Genomic DNA, 23,012 nt, shown 5'->3' with positions numbered 1-23,012 from the left:
TCTACACAGACACGGCAACCATCCGATTTCTCAATCTTTTCCCCGCCTTTCCCCTCTTTCTATTCCACAAAACCACCATTGTCATCATGGCCCGTTCTCAATGAGCTGTTGGGTACACCTCCCAGACGGGGTGGTGGCCGGGCAGAGGGGCTCCTCCTTTCCCAGTAGGGGCGGCCGGGCAGAGGCGCCCCTCACCTCCCAGACAAGGCAGCTGGCCGGGTGGGGGGCTGACCCCTCCACCTCCCTCCCGGACGGGGTGGCTGGCCAGGCGGGGGGCTGACCCCCCCACCTCCCTCCTGGACGGGGCGGCTGGCCGGGCGGGGGTGCTGACCCCCCCACCTCCCTCCCAGAAGGGGCGGCTGGCCGGGCGGGGGGCTGACCCCCCCACCTCCCTCCCAGACGGGGCGGCTGGCCGGGCAGAGGGGCTCCTCACTTCCCAGTAGGGGCGGCCGGGCAGAGGCGCCCCTCACCTCCCGGACAGGGTGGCTGGCCGGGCGGGGGGCTGACGCCCCCACCTCCCTCCCGGACGGGGTGGCTGGCCGGGTGGGGGGCTGACCCCCCCACCTCCCTCCGGGATGGGGTGGCTGCTGGGTGGAGACACTCCTCACTTCCCAGACGGGGCAGCTGCCGGGCTGAGGGGCTCCTCACTTCTCAGACGGGGCGGCTGCCGGGTGGAGGGGCTCCTCACTTCTCAGATGGGGCGGTTGCCAGGCGGAGGGTCTCCTCGCTTCTCAGACGGGGCGGCCGGGCAGAGATGCTCCTCACCTCCCAGACGGGGTCGCGGCCGGTTAGAGGCGCTCCTCACATCCCAGACGGGGCGGCGGGGCAAAGGCGCTCCCCACATCTCAGATGATGGGCGGCCGGGCAGAGACGCTCCTCACTTCCTAGATGGGATGGCGGCTGGGAAGAGGCGCTCCTCACTTCCTAGATGGGATGGCAGTGGGGCAGAGATGCTCCTCACTTTCCAGACTGGGCAGCCAGGCAGAGGGGCTCCTCATGTCCCAGACAATGGGCGGCCAGGCAGAGACGCTCCTCACTTCCCAGATGGGGTGGCAGCCGGGCAGAGGCTGCAATCTCGGCACTTTGGGAGGCCAAGGCAGGCGGGTGGGAGGTGGAGGTTGTAGCCAGCCGAGATCACGCCACTGCGCTCCAGCCTGGGCACCATGGAGCACTGAGTGAACCAGACTCCGTCTGCAATCCCGGCAATTCGGGAGGCTGAGGCTGGCAGATCACTCGCTGTTAGGAGCTGGAGACCAGCCCGGCCAACACAGCGAAACCCCGTCTCCACCAAAAAAATACGAAAACCAGTCAGGCGTGGCGGCGCGCGCCTGCAATCACAGGCACTCGGCAGGCTGAGGCAGGAGAATCAGGCAGGGAGGTTGCAGTGAGCCGAGATGGCAGCAGTACAGTCCAGCTTTGGCTTGGCATCAGAGGGAGACCGTGGAAAGAGGGGAGAGGGAGAGGGAGAGGGAGAGGGAGCGGGAGCGATACAGAAGTTTTTCTCTCCTGGTTCAGTCTTGACAAAGTGTATGCTTCCAGGAATTTATCCTTCTCTTCTAGGGTTTCTAGTTTTTGTGCATAGAGGTTTCATAGTAGTTTCTGATGGTTATTTTTGTTTCTGTGGTGTCAGTGGCAATACTCCCTTTGTCATTTCTAATTGTGTTTATTTGGATCTTCTCTCTTTTATTCTTTATTAGCCTAGCTAGTGGCCTATTTGTCTTCCTGCCCCCCCCAAAAAAAACACCTCCTGAATTTGTGCAATTTTTGAATGTTTTTTCATGTCTTGATTTTCTTTAGTTCAGCTCTGAATTAAGTTATTTCTTGTCTTCTGCTATCTTTGGGGTTGATTTCTTCTTGCTTCTCTAATTCTTTCAGTTGTGACATTAGGTAGTTAATTTGAGATCTTTCTAACTTTTTTATGTGTGTATTTAGTGCTATGAAGTTTTCTTTTAACACTCCCTTAGCTGTGTCCTAAAGATTCTGGGATGTTGTATCTTTGTTCTTATTAGTTTCAAAGAACGTCTTAATTTCTGCCTTAATTTCATTATTTACCCAAAGATCATTCAGGAGTATGTTGTTTAATTTCCATACAATTACACAGATTGGAGAACTTTTCTTAATTTTTTAAAGTGGGCATCATTTATTTTATTTTATTTTAATTTCAACAGTTTTTGGGGAACAGGTCATTTTTGGTTACATGGATAAGTTCTTTAGTGGCAATTTCTGAGATTTTGGTGCACCCATCACCCAAGCAGTGTACCCTGTACCCAGTGTATAATCTTTTATCCTCACCTCCTTTTCACTTTTTTCTCCAAGTACTGAAAGTCCATTATATCATTTTTATGCCTTTACATCCTCATAGCTTAGCTGCTACTTATTTGTGAGAACACACAATATTTAGTTTTCCATTCCTGAGTTACTTCACTTAGAATAATGGTCTCCAACTTTATCCAACTTGCTATAAACGTCATTATTTTGTTTCTTTTTATGGCTAGGTAGTATCCTATGGTGTATATATACCAGATTTTCCTTATCCACTCGTTGGTTGATTGACATTTAAGATGGTTCTATATTTTTTACAATTGCAAATTGTGCTGCTATAAATGTGTGTGCAAGTGTATTTTTCATATAATGACTTCTTTTCCTCTGGGTAGATACCCAGAAGTGGGATTGCTAGATCAAATGGTAGTTCTACTTTTAGTATTTTAAGGAATTTTCATAATCTTTTTCATAGTGATTGTACTAGTTTACATTCCCACCAGCAGCGTACAGGTGTTCCCTTTTCAGCACATTCACACCAATATGTATTATGTTTTTTTTTTATTTATGGACATTCTTAGAGAAGTAAGATGATATTTCACTGTGGTTTTAATTTGCATTTACCTGACAATTAGTGACGTTAATCATTTGTATATATTTTTTGAGAATTGTCTATTCATGTCCTTTGCCCACTTTTTGATAGAGTTGTTTTTTTCTTGCTGGTTTGCTTGCATTCCTTGTAGATTCTGGCTATTAGTCTTTTGTCAAATGCATAGTTTGTAAATATTTTCTCCCATTTTATGGTTCGTCTGTTTACTCTGCTGATTATTTCTTTTGGTGTACAGAAGCTCTTTAGTTTAATTAGGTTCCATCTGTTTATATTTGTTCCTATTGCATTTGCTCTTGGGTTCCTGGTCATAAACTCTTGGCCTAAGCCAATGTCTAGAAGAGTTTTTCCAATGCTATCTTCTAAAATTTTTATAGTTTCAGGTCTTAGATGTAAGTCTTTGGATCATCTTGAGTTGATTTTTATACAAGGTGAGGGTGAGGATTCAGTTTTATTTTTTTACATGTGGCTTGCCAACTATCTAAGCAGCATTTGTTTAAGAGGATATCCTTTCCCCACTTTTTGTTTTTGTTTGCTTTGTTGAATTTGTGAACCTCCAAACTTTGAGACAGGTCTCAAATAATTTAGAAAGTTTATTTTGCAAAGGTTGAGAATGTGCCCATAACACAGCTTCGGGAAGTCCTGATGACATGTGCCCAAGGTGGTCAGGGCACAGATTGGTTTTATACATTTTAGGGAGACATGAGACATCCATCAATATGTAAGAAACACATTAGTTTCATCTAGAAACAAGCCTCCCACCAATTGGGTGTCTCCTGGTCATATGTAGGTGAAAGACAGATGGCTGCATTCTTTGAGTTTATGATAAGTCTTTCCAAAGGAGGCAATCAGAATCTGCATCTATCTCTGTGAGCAAAGGGTTAGGTTGAATAGGAGGCAGACTTGCCCTGAGTGGTTCCCAGCTTGAAGGGCCCAAGATATTTTTCTTTCACAATTCCCCCTTTTTCTTTTTAACAATTTTTTGGAGAAAGCATTTTACAAGAAAATGAGTCTCTGTCTCAGATTTCATCTGATCTGTCATGCATAAGATGGTTTATTTTTAGATGAATAGGTCCAGAAAGCTCATTTTTAGCAGGTGGTGGAGTCTCATGTCCTATGAAGAGAAAATAGGAGGAAGAAAAAGAGATAAAACAACAAGAAAAGAACAGTCTTGGACAAATCAATATAGGCCACATTACTCTGAAAGCCATACATTAGTAAGCAGGTATAAAAGTGGCTTATGTATATAAATAGATTATTGTTATTTTCTTCAGAAGTTTAAGTTGCCTGGCTTCGGTTCACAGGGTTTTAAAAAACCACGGCTTAGTTTTCAGTGACCCCAAATTATGAAAAATGAAAAAGATAAGAAAAAAATGGAAACATTTTGAACAGTTGTAGCCAAGAAAAATTAGAATTTGGTCCAAACTGTAGAAAATAATTAAAAAAATGAAAAAAAACCCTATTAGGCAAGACTAGAATCTAACAACAGGTGTACAATTGTTTTTAAACATAATTTATTCTCTCTCCAGTTTCCCATTTTACTAAAGACAAATAATGGTAGGACTGGTTTGCTTATTATATTTAGCCTAAATATTTGTATACAGTGCAGCAAGAATATTTTTTACATAGGCTTTTAAATTGGCTTTGATGGATTCCTGGGCAAGATGGCCAAATAGGAAATGCTCTGGTCTGCAGCTCCCAGTAAGATCAGTACAGAAGGTGGGTGATTTCTGCATTTCAAACTGAGGTACACTGTTCATCTCACTGGGACTGGTTAGACAGTGGTTGCAGCCCATGAAGGGCAAGCAGAAGTAGGGTGGGGTGTCGCCTCATCCAAGAAGTGCAAGGGGCTGGGGAACTCCCTCCCTTAACCAAGGGAAGTAGTGAGAGACTGTGCCATGAGGGACAGTGCTATCCAACTCAGATACTACGCTTTTCTCATGGTTTTTGCAACCCGCAGACCAGGAGATTCTCTCCTGTGTCTAGACCACCCAGGCCCTGGGTTTCAAGCACAAAACTGGATGGCTGTTTGGAGAGACACTGAGCTAGCTGCAGGAGTTTTTTTTTTGTCACACCTCAGTTGGGCCTGGAAACCCAGCGAGACAGAACCTTTCACTCCCCTGGAAAGGGAGCTGAAATCAGGGAGCCAAATGATCTCGTTGAGTGGGTCCCATTCCCATGGAGCCCAGCAAGCTAAGAACAACTGGATTGAAATTATTGCTGCCAGCACAGCGGTCTGAAGTCAACTTAGGACAATCGAGTTTGGTGGGGGGAGGGGCGTTCACCATTATTTAGGCTTGAGAAAGTGGTTTTCCTGTCACAGAATTAAGGGAGCCGCTGGAAAGTTCACACTGTGTGGAATTCACTGCAGCACAGCCAGTCAGCTGTGGCCAGACTGCCTCTCTAGATCCCTCCTCAATGGTCAGGGCATCTCTGAAAGAAAGGCAGCAGCCCCAGTCAGGGGCTTATACATAAAACTCCCATCTCCCTGGGACAGAGCACCTGGGGGAAGGGGCGGCTGTGGGCACAGCTTCAGCACACTTAAACATTCCTGCCTGCCAGCTCTGAAGAGGGCAGCAGATCTCCCAGCACAGCACTCAAGCTCTGCTAAGGGACAGACTTCCTCCTCAAGTGGGTCCCTGACCCCCATGCCTCCTGACTGGGAAACACGTCCCAGCAAAGGTCGACAGACACTTAATACAGGAGAACTCTGGCTGGCATCATGCAGGTGCCCCTCTGGGATGAAGCTTCCAGAGGAAGATGCAAGCAGCAATCTTTGCTGTTCTGCAGCCTCCACTGGTGATACCCAGGCAAATATGACCTGGAGTGGACCTCCAGCAAACTCCAGCAGACTTGCAGAAGACAGCCTGACTGTTAGAAGGAAAACCAACAAACAGAAAGCAATAACATTAACATCAACAAAAAGGATGCCCACACAAAAAACGCATCCAAAAGTAATCAACATCAAGATCAAAGGTAGATAAATCCATGAAGATGAGGAAAAACCAACACAAAATGGCTGAAAATTCCAAAAACCAGAATGCCTCTTCTCCTCTAAATGATCACATCTCTTCTCCAGCAAGGGCACAAGACTGAACGGAGAATGAGTTTGATGAACTGACAGAAATAGGCTTCAGAAATTGGGCAATAACAAACTCCTCTTAGCTAAAGGAGCATGTTCTAACCCAATGCAAGGAAGCTAAGAACCTTGATAAAAGGTTACAGGAACTGCTAACTACAATAACCAGTTTAGAAAAGAACATAAATGAACTGATGGAGCTGAGAAACACAGCATGAGAACTTTGAAGCATACTCAAGTATCAATAGCTGAATCAATCAAGCAGAAGAAAGAATATTAGAAATTGAAAATCAACTTAATGAAAAAAAATCATGAAGAGAATATTAGAGAAAAAAGAATGAAAAGGAGCAAACAAAGCCTCCAGGCAATATGGGACTATGTGAAAAGACCAAACTTACGTTTCATTGGTGTGCCTGAAAGTGATGAGGAGAATGGAACCAAGTTGGAAAACACACTTCAGGATATTATCCAGGAAAACTTCCCCAAACTAGCAATATGGCCTACATTCAAATTCAGGAAATAAAGAGAACACCACTAAGATACTCCTCGAGAAGAGCAACACGAAGACACATAGTTGTCAGATTCTCCAAAGTTGAAATGAAGAAGAAAATGTTAAGGTCAGCCAGAGATAAAAGTCAGGTTACCTACAAAGGGAAGCCCATCAGACTAACAGCAGATCTCTCTGCAGAAACCCTATAAGTCAGAAGAGAGTAGGGGCCAATATTCAACATTCATAAAGAATGTTTAACCCAGAATTCCATATCCAGCCAAACTAAGCTTCATAAGTGAAGGAGAAATAAAATGTTTTCCAAACAAGCAAATGCTGAGGGATCGTGTCACTCCCAGGCCTGCCTTACAAGAGTTCCTGCAGAAAGCACTAAATATGAAAAGGAAAAACCGGTACCAGCCACTGGAAAAACACACCAAAATATAAAGACCAATGACACTATGAAGAAACTGCATCAACTAATGTGCAAAATAACTAGCTAGCATCATGAGGACAGGATCAAATTGACACATAACAATATTAACCTTGAATGTAAATGGGCTAAATGCCCCAATTAAAAGACATAGACTGGAAAATTGGATAAAGAGACCCTTGATGTGCTGTATTCAGGAGACCCATCTCAGGTGCAAAGACACATATAGGCTCAAATTAAAAGGATGAAGGAATATTTACCAAGCAAATAGAAAGCAAAATAAAGCAGGGGTTCCAATCCTAGTCTCTGATAACACAGACTTTAAGCCAACAAAGATCAAAAAAGACAAAGAATAACATTACATAGCGGTAAAGGGATCAATGCAACTAGAAGAGCTAACTATCCTAAATATATATGCACCTAATACAGGAGCACCCAGATTCATAAAACAAGTTTGTAGAGGCCTACAAAGGGACTTAAACACCCACACAATAATAATGGGAGACTTTAACACCCCACTGTCAATATTAGACTGATCAACGAGACAGAAAATTAAGCAGGATATTGAGGACTTGAACTCAGCTCTGACCAAGAGGACCTAATGGACATCTACAGAGCTCTCCACCCCAAATCAACAGAATATACATTCTTCTCAGCACCATATATCACTTACTCTAAAATAGACCACATAATTGGAAGTGAAACACTCCTCAGGAAATTCAAAAAACGGAAATCCTAACAAACAGTCTCTCAGACTGCAGTGCAATCAAATTAGAACTCAGGATTAACAAACTCACTTAAAATCACAAAACTACATGGAAACTGAACAACCTGCTCCTGAACGACTACTGGGTAAATAACGAAATAAAGGCAGAAATAAATAAGTTCTTTGAAACCAATGAGGACAAAGAGGCAACGTACCAGAATCTCTGGGACACAGCTAAAGCAGTGTTTAGAGGGAAATTTATAGCACTAAATGCCCACATCAGAAAGCGAGAAAGATCTAAAATCAACACTCTAACAAACATCACAATTAAAAGAACTAGAGAAGAAAGAGCAAACAAATTCAAAAGGTAGCAGAAGAGAAGAAATAACTAAAATCAGAGCAGAACTGATGGAGATAGACCTGAAAAACCCATCAAAAAATCAATGAATCCAGGAGCTGTTTTTTCAAAAAAGATTAACAAAATAGATAGACTGCTAGCCAGACTAATAATGAAGAAAAGGGAGAAGAATCAAATAGACACAATAAAAAATGATAAAGGGGATATCACCACTGATCACACAGAAAGACAAACTACCATCGGAGAGTACTGTTAACACCTCTACGCAAATAAACTAGAAAATCAAAAAGAAATGGATAAATTCCTGGACACACACACACCCTCCCAAGACTAAACCAGGAGGAAGTCAAATCCCTGAATAGATCAATAACAAGTTCTGTAATTTAGGCAGTAATTAATAGCCTACCAACCAAAAAAAAAAAAAAAAAGCCCAGGACCAGACGGATTCACAGCTGAATTCCACCAGTGGTACAAAGAGAAGCTGGCACCATTCCTTCTGAAACTATTCCAAACAAAAAAGTGGGACTCCTCTGCAGCTCATTTTATGAGGCCAGCATCATCCAGTTACCAAAATTTGGCAGAGAAAGAACAAAAAAAGAAAATTTCAAGGCAATATCCCTGATGAACATCAATTCAACAATTCTCAATAAAATACTGGCAAACTGTATCCAGCAGCACATCAAAAAGCTTATCCACCACAATCAAGTTGGCTTCATTCCTTGGATGCAAGGCTGGTTCAACATACACAAATCAATAAATGTAATCCATCACATGAACAGAACCAATGACAAAAAACACATGATTATCTTAATAGATGCCGAAAAGGCCTTCAATAAAATTCAATACCCCTTCATGCTAAAAACTCTCAATAAACTAGGTATTGATGGAGCGGATTTCAAAATAATAAGAGTTATTTATGACAAACCCATAGCCAAAATCATACTGAATGGGCAAAAGCTAGAAACATTCCCTTTGAAAACTGGCACAAGACAAGGATGCTCTCTCTCTCCACTCCTATTCGACGTAGCATTGGAAGTTCTGGCTAGAGCAATCAAGCAAGAGCAAGAAATAAAGGGTATTCAAATAGAAAGAGAGAAAGTCAAATTGTCTCTGTTTTCAGATGACACGATTGTATATTTAGAAAACCCCATCATGTCAGCCCAAAAACTCCTTAAGCTGATAAGCAACTTCAGCATAGTCTCAGGATACAAAATCAATGTGCAAAAATCACAAGCATTCCTATACACCAATAATAGACAGACAGAGAGCCAAATCATGAGTGAGCTCCCATTCACAATTGCTACAAAGAAAATAAAATACCCAGGAATACAACTTAGAAGAGACTTGAAGGACCTCTTCAAGAAGAACTACAAACCACTGCTCAAGGAAATCAGAGAGGACACAAACAAATAGAAAAACATTCCATGCTCATGGATAGGAAGAATCAATATCGTGAAAATGGGCATACTGATGAAAGCAATGTATAGATTCAATGCTATTCCCATAAAGCTACCATTGACTTTCTTCACAAAACTAGAAAACACTACTTTAAGTTTCATATGGAACCAAAAAATAGCCCGTGTAGCCAAGACAATCCTAAGCAAAAAGGAAAAAGCTGGAGGCATCACACTACCCAACTTCAAGGTATACTACATGGCTACAGTAATCAAAACAGCATGGTACTGGTACCAAAACGGGTATATAGAACAGTGGAACAGAACAGAGGCCTCAGAAATAACACCTCACATCTACAACAATCTGATCTTCGAAAAACATGACAAAAACAAGCAATGAGAAAAGGATTCCCTATTTAATAAATGGTGCTGGGAAAACTGGCTAGCCATATGTAGAAAACAGAAACTGGACCCCTTCCTTATCTTTACACCTTATACAAAAATTAACTCAAGATGGATTAAAGACATAAATGTAAAACCTAAAACCATAAAAACCCTAGAAGAAAACCTAGGCAATACCATTCAGGACATACGTATGGGCAGAAACTATATGACTAAGACACCAAAAAGCAACTGCAACAAAGGCCTAAACTGACAAATGGGATCTAATTAAACTAAAGAGCTTCTGCTCAGCAAAAGAAATTATCATCAGAGTGAATAGGTAACCTAGAGAATGGGAGAAAATTTTTGCAATCTATCCATCTGACAAAATTCTAACATCTAGAATCTACAAGGAACTTTAACAAATGTACAAGAAAAAACAAACAACCCCATCAAAAAGTGGGTGAAGGATATGAACAGACACTTCTCAAAAGAATACATATATGCAGCCAACAAACATGAAAAAAAGCTCATCATCACTGGTCATTAGACAAATGCAAATCAAAACCACAATGAGATGCCATCTCATGCCAGTTAGAGTGGCAATCATTAAAAAGTCAGGAAACAACAGAGGCTGGAGAGGATATGGAGAAATAGGAATGCTTTTCACTGTTGGTGGAGTGTAAATTAGTTCAAGCATTGTAGAAGACAGTGTGGTGATTCCTCAAGGATCTAGAACCAAAAATACCATTTGACCCAGCAATCCCATTACTGGGCATATATCCAAAGTATTATATAGTAGGGGATACAATCATATCCCCTACTATAAAGACACATGCACGTGTATGTTTATTGCAGTGATATTTACAACAGCAAAGACTTGGAACCAACCCAAATGCCCACCAATGATAGACTGGATGAAGAAAATGTGGCACATATACACCATGTAATACTATGAAGCCATAAAAAAGAATTTCATGTCCTTTGCAGGAACATGTATGAACCTGGAAACCATCATCCTCAGCAAGTTAACACAGGAACAGAAAATCAAACATCGCATGTTCTCACTCGTAAGTGGGAGTTGAACAATGAGAACACATGGACACAGGGAGGGAAACATCAGACACTGGGGCCTGTCAGCATGTGGAAGGAAAGGGGAGGGAGAGCATTAGGACAGATGCCTAATGCATGTGGGGCTTGAAACCTAGATGATGCGTTAATAGGTGTAGCAAAGCACCATGGCATTAGAAAACAAATAACAAAATGTTGTGAAAAAGTCATTACTTAAAAGTAATCTTGAATGTAAATAGACAAAACTTTCCAATCATAAGACTTAGCATGGATGAATGGATAAAAAACAAGTCCAAATTGTCTGTTTTCTACCAGAAACACACTACCTATAAAGACACACATATGCTGAAAACAAGAGATGGAAAAGTGTATGCCATGCAAATGGAAATAAAAAAACAGCAGGTGTAGCTATGCTTATATCAGACAAAATAGACTTCAGACTAAATCTCTAAAAAGAGACAAAGAAAGTCATTTTGTAATGATAAATGGGTCAATTCAGCAAGAGGATGTAACAATTGTAAATATATATGCACCCAACACTGGAACATCCAGACATATAAAGCAAGTGTTATTAGAGCTAAAGAAAGGGATAGACTGCAATACAATAATAACTGGAGACATCAACACTGACATTAAGCACTGGACAGATTACCCAGGAAGAAAATCAACAAAGAAATATTGGAGCTAATCAGCACTACACACCAACTGGGCCTAATAGACGTTTACAGAACATTTCATGTAATGGCAGGAGAATACACATTCTTCTCCCTAGCACATGGATCATCCTCAAGGGTAGACTATACATTAGGCCACAAAACATTTATAAAAACATTCAAAAAATTGAAATAATATCAAGTATCTTCTCTGACCAAAATAGAATTAAGCTAGAAATCAATAACAAGATTAATTTTGAAATCTATATGAACATATGAAAATTAAACAATATGGTCCTGAATGACCAGTGGTTCAATGAAGAGATTGAGAAGGAAATTGAAAAATTTCTTGAAACAAATGATAATGGAACACAGCATACCAGAACCTATGGGATACAGCAAAAGCAATACTTAGAGGGAATTTTACAGCTATAAGTGCCTACATTAAAAAAGAATAAAAACTTCAAATAAACAAACTAATGATGCATCTTAAAGAACTAGAAAAGCAAGAGCAAACCAAACACAAAATTAGTAGAAGAAAAAGATTATAAATAATAAAGAAATAAATAAGAGCAGAAATAAAATTGAAACAGAGAAAACAATACAAAAATCAATGAAACAAAAAGTTTTTAGAAAAGATAAAACCGACAATCCTTTAGTATGGCTAAATAAAAAAAAAGATAATATTCAGGTAAATAATATCAGAGAAGAAAAAGGAGACATTTCAACCAATACCACAGAAATTAATAAACTCATTCGAGTCTACTATGAGCAACTATATGCCATTAAATTGGAAAACCAAGAAGAATGGATAAGGTAGGCATGGTTAATGGGTACATAGATACAGTTTAAAAGAATGAATAAAATCCAGTATTTTATAGCACAACAGAGTGACCGTAATCAATAATCATTTAATTGTGCATTTAAAAATAACTAAAAGAGTATAATTGGATTATTTGTGACAAAAAGAATAAATGCTTGAGGTGATGGATACCTCATTTACCCTAACGTAATTGTTACACATTGTGTGTCTGTATCAAAATATTCCATATACTTCATAAATATATATATGTGTACCTAATATGTTCCCATAAAAATTAAAAAATGAAAAATAAGTTGTGCTTTATTTAATGATAGCAAGGATTTGCTCCAAAGGGAATCATTTTTATGTTTCTAGAGCCAAATATTTTCTATGACATGCATGCACATAATGTACAACTCAGGGCAGTTACTCAAAGCCAAGTCTCTGACATTCAGCATTATTCCTCATCCTATCACACTACATCTTTCCTTGATCATACTATATGTAGTTGCTCATATAAATACCATAATTGAAAAACAGAAGAAAGAAATCTGACATAAAATTTTTTTGCCATATGATGAAAATTGATACCTTGTTTCTCTGCCAACAGAGATCCATTTTGACAAGCTTTACAGGCTATTTAAAAATGAGTATGTATTTCTCACACATTGTTTCATCAGCTAGGGCTACAAAAGGAGGTCACATTCGTTTAATATTTGAAATAATAAAACACCCTGAGCCCTCATCATGACTATAGAAAAATGTTTTATTCCCTTCTATGAGAGCAATGAGATCACCAGAAAGGCTTAATTAGTAAAAGCTAAGGGGTTAGTCCTGATTATTATTGCCTCATAAAGAGAAAATTAGAAAGCCTGTTGTCCTGTTTGTTTTCACTGTTATTATGATTTTTACCACAAGGTGTCAGTACAGGAACCAGGCAGGTCGATTGCTCCAGTACTGTCTTCATGAATTCTCTGCTTCACATCAGGACATATGATATCCTAAGCACACTATGTCACAAAAATTTAGGAAGTCGGAAGTTTTGTGATGTGAAGAAAAACATTAAGGCCTACATCATCATGTCAGTCATTTGTCAGTAGCTTCTCTAGTTGCAGAGACGGAAGGGGAAGATTTTTTCCTTCCTTGTTACATTAAACTTGGCCCTCCTACATCTCATTAATTCTCTAACATGTATTTGTGAATAGGACTCTGATTTCTTTACTAGAGGTATAATGGGCAGACGAATACTGACCCTCCTTCCCTGCCCCTTGCTTAAGCCAGATAACTTGAAATTCATTTCTGAGGGTAGACCTGTTTAAAAAAAAAAAAAAAGAAAGAAAAAAGAATACATCCACAGAGTTGTGTAACCATTACCACAATTTAATATTATAACTACTTTATCACCTAAAAAGAAACTTTGTACCCATTAGACTTTAGTCTCTATTTCCCCTCAAACTCTCTACCCCTAGGCAATGACCAGTTTACTTTCTATATCTAGATGTAGCTCTTTGAAATTTCACATAAGTTAAATTATACAATATGTAGTGTTTTGTAATTTGTTTCTTTCATTTTGCATGTTTCTAAGGTTCATATGTGTTGTAGCATGTATTAATACTTTACTCCTTTGCATTACTGGATAATACTGCCTTATATGTCTGCAGTTCATTTGTTTATCCATTTGCCAATTGATGGGCATTTGGGTTATTTCTATTTTTTGGCTATTATGAATGACTCTGTTATAAACATTTGTGTACAAGGTTTTATGTGGACATATATCTTCATTCCTTCTAGAAGTGGAATACCCTGGACATATGGTAGCTCTAAGTTTAACCTTTTGAAGAACTGCCAGACTGTATTCCAATGTGGATGCATCATTATACACTCTCAATAGCAGAATATGAAGGTTCTATTTTTTTCCACATTTTTATCAACCCATTTTATCATCTTTCTTTTGGATTATAAATATCTTAGTGGGTGTAAAGTGCTATTTTATTGTGGTTATAATTTGTATTTACATAATGACTAATGATATTGACTAGGAACTGTTGTGAATCCACAGCACAACACAGCTGCTCCATGGAAAAAGTGACCAGGCTGTTTTCCAGGGTCCCTGATTTCACTTCTCTGTACTGGCATGGTTTCCTGACCTGAGACTTCAGCACAACTACCCTGCCCCCACATGAACACTGCAGTTGGAGGCAGCTCTGCATTTCTCTCAGGAGGAAATCTAAGAGACAACTCACAATCCCTCTGCCATTGCAGCTGCAGTGATACTGCCCTAACTGCCCTCAGGCAGGGAAAGGAACAAAGGGTCTGGTCACTGTGTTCGCATGTCCAGCACACTGAAGTCATGATATGGAGAGGTATCCAGTCCCTTTCCCTTGTGCGCCCCCAACTTCACTTTTCACCAGGCAGGGCCCTAGCTCAGGACCTCAATTTAGCTGCCCCACCCAGAGCTGAGCACACCTACAGGTAGTGGCACTGAGTTTCCCTGGGGAAGATCTTCCAGAGGCAACCAACAGCCCCTCTGCCACTGTCACAGCAGTGGTTCTGTCCCTGCTGTCCTCAGTGTAAGGAAAGAAACAAAGAGCCTAAGGACTTCACACATGCTCCCAGCATGCCACAATCACATAGAGGGAGGAGCTCAGTCTCTTCTGCCTGTGAGTTATTGACTCTGCTCCTGAAAAAGCAGAGCTCCAAGCTCAGCACAGCAGTGCAGTCACCCTGTCCCCTGGATGAACATACCCAGTAACAGCATCTCCACATTTCTCTTAGGTGAAACTCCCAGAGCCATCTGAAAGCTCCTCTCCCACTGCCATTGCAATGATACTGCCCTTGCTCCCCTTGGATTGGGAAAGGAGAAAATACTCTGAGGGCTTTAACCACACCTCCAGAAAGCTGCAGAGGGAGAAGAAGCCAATCTGCTTCCCTTGTGATCCACTCACCCCCAGTTGTTACCAAGCAGCACCCCCTCCCCCTGGCTTGAGCCCACAGTGCAGCCACTCCAATCACATTAATTGATAGCAGCTCTGCATCTCTGTGGGGTAAAGCTCCATGAGACAAGTGAACCTCTGTAACACCCACTGCTATGGTCCCTTCCCTTGCTGCCTCCAAGGTGGGGAGGGAACATAAAGCCTGAGCTCACCCCAGAGCTGCAGTGTGCAGCCTGGGAGTGCCAAGCCAAGATCTGCAGCCAGTACTCAAGTGGGAAAGGAATAAAACTTTCAGAGCACTAAGAAGGACCATGATTGCAATTGTGAAAAAACACAGATAAGCCATGTGATTGAGCAAGAGGCTGCATACTGGCCATTTTACTTCAGCACAGTCTACTAGATTGAAGACCAAAACTTCTACACCAAAATACTTTGCTGATATACTCGATGAAACAAAGGACAAGAATTCACCTACAAATAACCACCCTGCACAAAGCTTCAGCTCTCTGAATACATCCTAAAAAGAAGTCTACTGCCTGTACTCAAATTACACCACAGTTAAAAGAACAACAGCCCACACAGATGAGAAAGAACCAGCACAATAACTCTGACAATTAAAAAAGTCAGAGTGACTTCTTTCCTCCAAATGACTGCACCATTTCCCAAGAAAGACTTCTTACCTGGCTGAAATGGCTAAAATGACAGAACTAGAATTCAGAGTATAGATAGTAAATGAAGATCATCAAAACTCAGGAGTGAACACCCAATCCAAGGAATCTAAGAATTACAATAAAATAAAAAATAAGCTGGTAGACAAAGAGACCATTATAAAAAAGAACTAAATAAATCTGATAGAATTGAAAAACACACTACAAGAATTTCATAATGTAATCACAAGTATTTACAGTAGGATAGACCAAGCTAAGGAAAGAATATCAGGGCTCAAAGACTAGCTATCTAAAATAATTCAGTAAGACTAAAAACAAAAGAATAAAAAATATGAACAAAACCTCTGAGAAATATGAGATTATGTAAAGAAATCAAATCTATAACCCACTTGTGTCCCCGGAAGAGATGCGGAGAAAGTAAGCATCTTGGAAAACATATCTCAGAATATTGTCCAAGAAAACTTTTCCAACCTCACTAAAGGGTTAACATTCAAATTAAGGAAAGGCAGAAAACCCTTGCAAGATACTACATAAGAAGACCATCTCAAAGACACAAAATTATTAGATTCTCAAGGGTCAAAATGAAAGAAAAAAATGTTAAAGGCAGACAGAGAAAAGGGGCAGGTCACCTACAAAGGGAACCCCATCAGGCTAACAGCAGAACTTTCAGCAGAAACTCTATAAGCCAGAAGAAATTGAGGGCCAATAATCAGCATTCTTAAGGAAAAGAATTTCCAATCAAGAATTTCATATCCGGCCAAACTAACCTTCATATGTAAAGAACAAATAAGATCTTTTTCAGATAAACAAGTGCTGAGGGAATAAGTTAACACCAGACCTGCCTTACAAGAGGTCCTGAAGGCAGTGCTAAATATGGAAAGAAAAGAATGTTACCAGGACCACAAAAACACACAAGTATACAGGCCAGTGACAGTATAAAGCAACCACACAAACAAGTTTACATAATAACCAGCTAAAGATATGATGTCGGCAGGAGTCCCGGGCTGCCGCTGGCAACATCGTGTCACCCAGCTAAGAAAATCCGCGGGCCGGAGCCACGCGCCTGTGAACCGGAGAGGTCCCACTGCCCGAGTGGAGCCGGGCTGAGATTCTTCTCAAGTTGAGCCTCAGTGATCCTGTGGCCGAAGTTAGCGCCTTGACGTGGGACAACCGGACACGTCGCCGGGAGAGAACTGAGGCGCCTTCTAGCAGTTGTGACGCCAAAATCACGTCTCTGGAGACCCGCGCCCTCCGCCAGCCGGGCGCACCCTCGGCGTTAGCCTTCTTTGTGCGCCGTCCGGACTCCCAGCTCCCGGCCCGGCAGCCGAGCCCCAGCACAAAGCAGTCGGACCGCGCCGCCCGCCTCCCGGCTCGTGCCCCCGCCTCGGTTTTCCAACTCTGCGCCGTCGGGTCGCGGCAGGATGGTTGCCTCGCATTTGCTTGCCTACTTCTTCAAGGAGCTCAACCATGACCAAGTGCAGAAGGTTGACCAGTATCTCTACCACATGCACCTCTCTGATGAGACCCTCTTGGAGATCTCTAAGCGGTTCCGCAAGGAGATAGAGAAAGGGCTTGGATCCACCACTCACCCCACTGCAGCAGTGAAGATGCTGCCCACCTTTGTGAGGTCCACTTCAGATGGGACAGAACACGGAGAGTTCCTGGCTCTGGACCTTGGAGGGACCAACTTCCGTATGCTTTGGGTGAAAGTAACGGACAATGGGCTCCAGAAGGTGGAGATGGAGAACCAGATCTATGCCATCCCCGAGGACATCATGTGAGGCAGTGACACCGAGCTGTTTGACCACATTGTCGAATGGCTGGCTAACTTCATGGATAAGCTACAAATCAAAGACAAGAAGCTCCCATTGGGTTTTACCTTCTCGTTCCCCTGCCGCCAGACTAAACTAGACGAGAGTTTCCTGGTCTCATGGACCAAGGGATTCAAGTCCAGTGGAGTGGAAGGCAGAGACGTTGTGGCTCTGATCCGGAAGGCCATCCAGAGGAGAGGGGACTTTGATATCGACATTGTGGCTGTGGTGAATGACACAGTTGGGACCATGATGACCTGTGGTTATGACGACCACAACTGTGAGATTGGTCTCATTGTGGGCACTGGCAGCAACGCCTGCTACATGGAAGAGATGCGCCACATCGAGATGGTAGAAGGCGACGAGGGGCAGATGTGTATCAATATGGAGTGGGGGGCCTTCGGGGACGATGGCTCGCTCAATGACATTCGCACTGAGTTTGACCAGGAGATTGACATGGGCTCACTGAACCTGGGGAAGCAACTGTTTGAGAAGGTGATCAGTGGGATGTACATGGGGGAGCTGATGAGGTTTATCCTGGTGAAGATGGCCAAGGAGGAGCTGCTCTTTAGGGGGAAGCTCAGCCCAGAGCTTCTCAACACCGGTCACTTTGAGACCAAAGACATCTCAGACACTGAAGGGGAGAAGGATGGCATCCGGAAGGCCCGTGAGGTCCTGATGCGGTTGGGCATGGACCCGACTCAGGAGGACTGCGTGGCCACTCACCGGATCTGTCAGATCGTGTCCACACACTCCGCCAGCCTGTGCACAGCCACCCTGGCCCCCGTGCTGCAGCGCATCAAGGAGAACAAAGGTGAGGAGCAGCTTCGCTCTACTATTGGGGTCGACGGTTCCGTCTACAAGAAACACCCCCATTTTGCCAAGCGTCTACATAAGACCGTGTGGCGGCTGGTGCCCGACTGCTATGTCTGCTTCCTCCGCTCCGAGGATGGCAGTGGCAAAGGTGCAGCCATGGTGACAGCAGTGGCTTACCGGCTGGCCGATCAACACCGTGCCCGCCAGAAGACACTAGAGCCTCTGCAGCTGAGCCATGACCAGCTGTTGGAGGTCAAGAGGAGGATGAAGGTAGAAATGGAGCGAGGTCTGAGCAAGGAGACTCACGCCAGTGCCCCCGTCAAGATGCTTCCCACCTACGTGTGTGCCACCCCTGACGGCACAGAGAAAGGGGACTTCTTGGCCTTGGACCTTGGAGGAACAAATTTCCGGGTCCTGCTGGTCTGTATTCGGAATGGGAAGTGGAGTGGAGTGGAGATGCACAACAAGATCTATGGCATCCCGCAGGAGGTCATGCATGGCACCGGGGACGAGCTCTTTGACCACATTGTCCAGTGCATCGAGGACTTCCTGGAGTACATGGGCATGAAGGGCGTGTCCCTGCCTCTGGGTTTTACCTTCTCCTTCCCCTGCCAGCAGAACAGCCTGGACGAGAGCATCCTCCTCTAGTGGACAAAAGGCTTCAAGGAATCTGGCTGCGAGGGTGAGGACGTGGTGACCCTGCTGAAGGAAGCGATCCACTGGCGAGAGGAGTTTGACCTGGATGTGATTGCTGTGGTGAACGACACAGTCAGAACTATGATGACCTGTGGCTTTGAAGACCCTCACTGTGAAGTTGGCCTCATCGGTTGGCATGGGCAGCAATGTCTGCTACATGGAAGAGATGAGCAATGTGGAACTGGTGGAAGGAGAAGAGGGGCGGATGTGTGTGAACATGGAATGGGGGGCCTTTGGAGACAATGGATGCCTAGATGACTTCCACACAGAATTTGATGTGGCTGTGGATGAGCTTTCACTCAACCCCGGCAAGCAGAGGTTCGAGAAAATGATCAATGGAATGTACCTGGGTGAGATTGTCGGTAACATTCTCATCGATTTCACCAAGCGTGGGCTGCTCTTCTGAGGCCACATCTCAGAGCTACTCAAGACAAGGGGCATCTTTGAAACCAAGTTCTTGTCTCAGATTGAGAGTGACTGCCTGGCCCTGCTGCAACACTTAGGGCTTGAGAGCACCTGTGACGACAGCATCATTGTTAAGGAGGTGTGCACCGTGGTGGCCCGGCGGGCAGCCCAGCTCTGTGGTGCAGGCATGGCTGCTGTGGTGGACAAGATACGAGAAAACCGTGGGCTGGACGCTCTCAAAGTGACAGTGGGTGTGGATGGGACCCTCTACAAGCTACATCCTCACTTTGCCAAAGTCATGCATGAGACAGTGAAGGACCTGGCTCCGAAATGTGATGTGTCTTTCCTGCAGTCAGAGGATGGCAGCGGGAAGGGGGTGGCGCTCATCACTGCTGTGTTCTGCCGCATCCGTGAGGCTGGACAGCGATAGAACCCCTGAAATCGGAAGGGACTTCCTCTTTCTCTCCCTCCTCCCTGTTTTAAATTACAAGGTGTCATCCCTTTGTGTCAGAGACAGACCCCTTGGCTTTTCCTTGGCAGAGAGGACCCCACTGGACAGGGTTTTGTCTCTGCATCTCATCGTAGAGCTTGGTGGCCGAGCTTGGCCCTATTAAGATAAATACAGTTCCAAATAAGGATTTGTTCACATGCGTCACAACCATTCCCATTGGTTCTCTTAAAACATGAAAATTGTCACCCTTAGTAATCCGCCTTGCCAAATTCCACGTCCCTGTATAATTCTACAGGATGGGGACACTAATGAAGATGTGGTTGCTTCACCTTGGAGCCTGAACATGACATTTCCAGGTGGGGTGCATCCCCCAGCACTGACGTTGTTACTGATTCTCCTGTCAGAGATATGCGAGGTCTCCACTGAGGACGTGAGCCTGATTGTCCTACAGGCAGACGTGGGGAGGGTGGAGGGGCGACAATGGAGGGAAATCCATGGATATCCACGCAGCAGCCCCTCTTTAACCTCATCTACAAGCATTTGCCCTGTGGATTCCAGCATTTGCTATTCCTGGAATCAAGGAATCCCAAGTCTGGGCAATGAAACCAAAGCCAGGAGTTGATGAATTCTGCAGTCGGGCCAGCTGTCGCACCTCAGCGGGGTGCACATGTTATCCACCAGCAATGGACCTTTGGGGAGGGGGGAGTTTTTAGTTTGTTTTACAAATTTTTCCTGCAAAAGTGGAAACACTGTATTTTCATTTTAATTTATATTTGAAATTTTATTTAGTTCTTGAAGTAGATCTGCTTCTTCATCTTGACGTGTAATGGTCAGTTGTACGTAATGTATTTATATGTTAATTTGTTATGTATACAGATATGCAAGTCTTGTCAGAATTGGCCTCAGTGTAGTTAAAGGGCGGAAGAGGAAGATACTGACTAGTCATAGAAATACCTCATTCGCCTGTGGGAAGAGAAGAGAAGCCTCTTCAGGGTGAGTGAATGGCAAAGTGGTTGCTTCTGGCTCCTCCTTCCCCTGTGGTCTTGGAAGTGTGTGGAAGGCAGGGACAGAGATGGAGGCTGAGCCAATAGACTGAAGAGACCACAGCAATTGGCTCCTCCATCTAGAGATTTTCTTGGGGCAACATTCCATGGGATGTTAAGCAAAGGAAACCAAAGGAATCGTTTCAAATGGACTCATGGCTTAGAAATCTTTATTCTTAGGGCAGTCAGTAGTATTTTAAAGCTTTCTGACAAGATAAAGGAAGTCGCCAAAATTTCTTTTTTTAAGTTGTATCTAATCCTCAACAACAAACCAAAACAGAAAAATTAAACAACCAAATAAAACCTCAGGGACAACATTTTTGGTGTATTTGTGCCCTCCCAGCAAGTTTCACCTTGGGTTTGTATTTTAAATGTTTTACAAGAATTGTTGTCCATGTGCTTCCCTAGGCTGAGCTGGCATTGGTCTGCTAACCTGTTTTTGTGTTTTTTTTTTATACACAATATTTATTTCAAACTAGTGGGAAAAAATTAATTTATTTCAATTTATTGGGAGGGATGAGAGTGGCTTAAAAACTTCCATCCCTACTTTTCAAGAGTGCAGTTGATTCTGAATCTGAAAGCCTGCCTCTGCCCTAAAATACGCAAAAGCACAGACATTAAACCTGGATACTATATAATAGAGGGATGTAACTATTGAATTGGATACAAGGATCAGAATGGAAAGAAACTCACGATGAAATTGCACCCAGTTTTTGTGTATCTATCAAACTTGTGCTGGGAATAGTGTCCGATTATACAACTTTTACGCAAAGTTGGGTGTAATTAGGTGAAAACGGCCCAGCTCCTCCTGGGAGCACAGAGGGGAGAGGGGCTGGTCTTTCTCGTTTATTCTAGTCTTGCTTTGCTGTCTGGTGTAGCTCTTCTGCTGCTCCCATCTGCACTAATTGACCCAAAATGTGGGTGTCTCCTGCTACACAAAAGCCAAAAGCTTTCACGTAGATTTTAGTTCACTAAAGGGTGTCCACAAAATAGAGATTAATTTTAACTTAAATTTTAAGCTTGAAGATTAGGTGCTATCTATGAAGTTACACTTTTTTTTTTAAAGGTAGAGATGTGTGTGTGTGTTTGTGTAGGTATTAAAGATGTGTTGTTGGTTTCCAAAAAGGAACACTGGAAATAAATTTTGAATGTTTGCGTTCTCAGAATCAGGTTGACAGTCCCTTGCTGACATGGCTTTGCTTGTGTAAATACAGTGGATCTCAATCTTCGGGGTGTGATGAATAGCAAATCATCTCAAATCCTTGAGCACTCAGTCTAGTGAAGATGTTGTCATTATGTACAATACATAACTAGTTTAATTAACTATGTGATGTTAACTATTATTAATAAATTTTAACATTTTCCAAAATAAATAAAAAAACATGATGTCATGATAAAATCCACACATGTCAATACTAACCTTGAATGTAAACAGATTAAGTACCCCAGTTAAAAGGCACATAACGTCAAGCTAAAGAAGTTAGACCCAAATGTATTCTGTCTTAAAGAGAACCATCTCACATGCAATGACACACATAGGCTCAAATTTAAAAATGGAGAATAATCTACCATGCAAATGGAAAACAGAAGGAAGCAGACGTTGCTTTCTTAATTTCAGGCAAAACAGACTTTAAACCAACAAAGACAAAACAAGACAAAGAAGAGCATTACATAATGGTAAAAGGTTCAATTCACCAAGAAGACCTAACTGTTCTAAATATGTAAGCACCCAACACAGGAGCAACGAGCTTCATAAGGCAAGTTCTTGGAGACCTGTAAAGAGACTTAGATTCCCACACAATAATAGTGAGAGACCTCAACACCCCCACTGACAGTATGAGAAAGATCATGGAGGCAAAAAATTAACAAAAATATTCAGGGCCTATACTCAACACTTGACAAAATGAAATTAATAGACATTTACAGAACACTCCACCCCCAAACAACAGAAAATACATT

At 42.7% G+C, this 23,012-nt stretch overlaps 1 pseudogene, besides 1 other annotated feature; it reads left to right on the top strand.

Annotated features, from left to right (window-relative positions):
• Nucleotides 495-1,448: an enhancer, noted in NCBI's record as "H3K27ac hESC enhancer chrX:79845911-79846864 (GRCh37/hg19 assembly coordinates)". NCBI's record gives its function as "activates a minimal SCP1, AML or CMV promoter by ChIP-STARR-seq in primed H9 embryonic stem cells {active_cell/tissue: H9 hESC(primed)}" and the evidence as "EXISTENCE:reporter gene assay evidence [ECO:0000049][PMID:30033119]".
• Nucleotides 16,822-22,430, top strand: HK2P1 (hexokinase 2 pseudogene 1; annotated as a pseudogene).

This window comes from Homo sapiens, chromosome X, assembly GCF_000001405.40.
Source record: "Homo sapiens chromosome X, GRCh38.p14 Primary Assembly".
In the NCBI taxonomy this organism is placed as follows: domain Eukaryota; kingdom Metazoa; phylum Chordata; class Mammalia; order Primates; family Hominidae; genus Homo; species Homo sapiens.
Note: the sequence above shows the minus strand (reverse complement) of the source record. Positions and strands in the feature narration are given on the sequence as shown.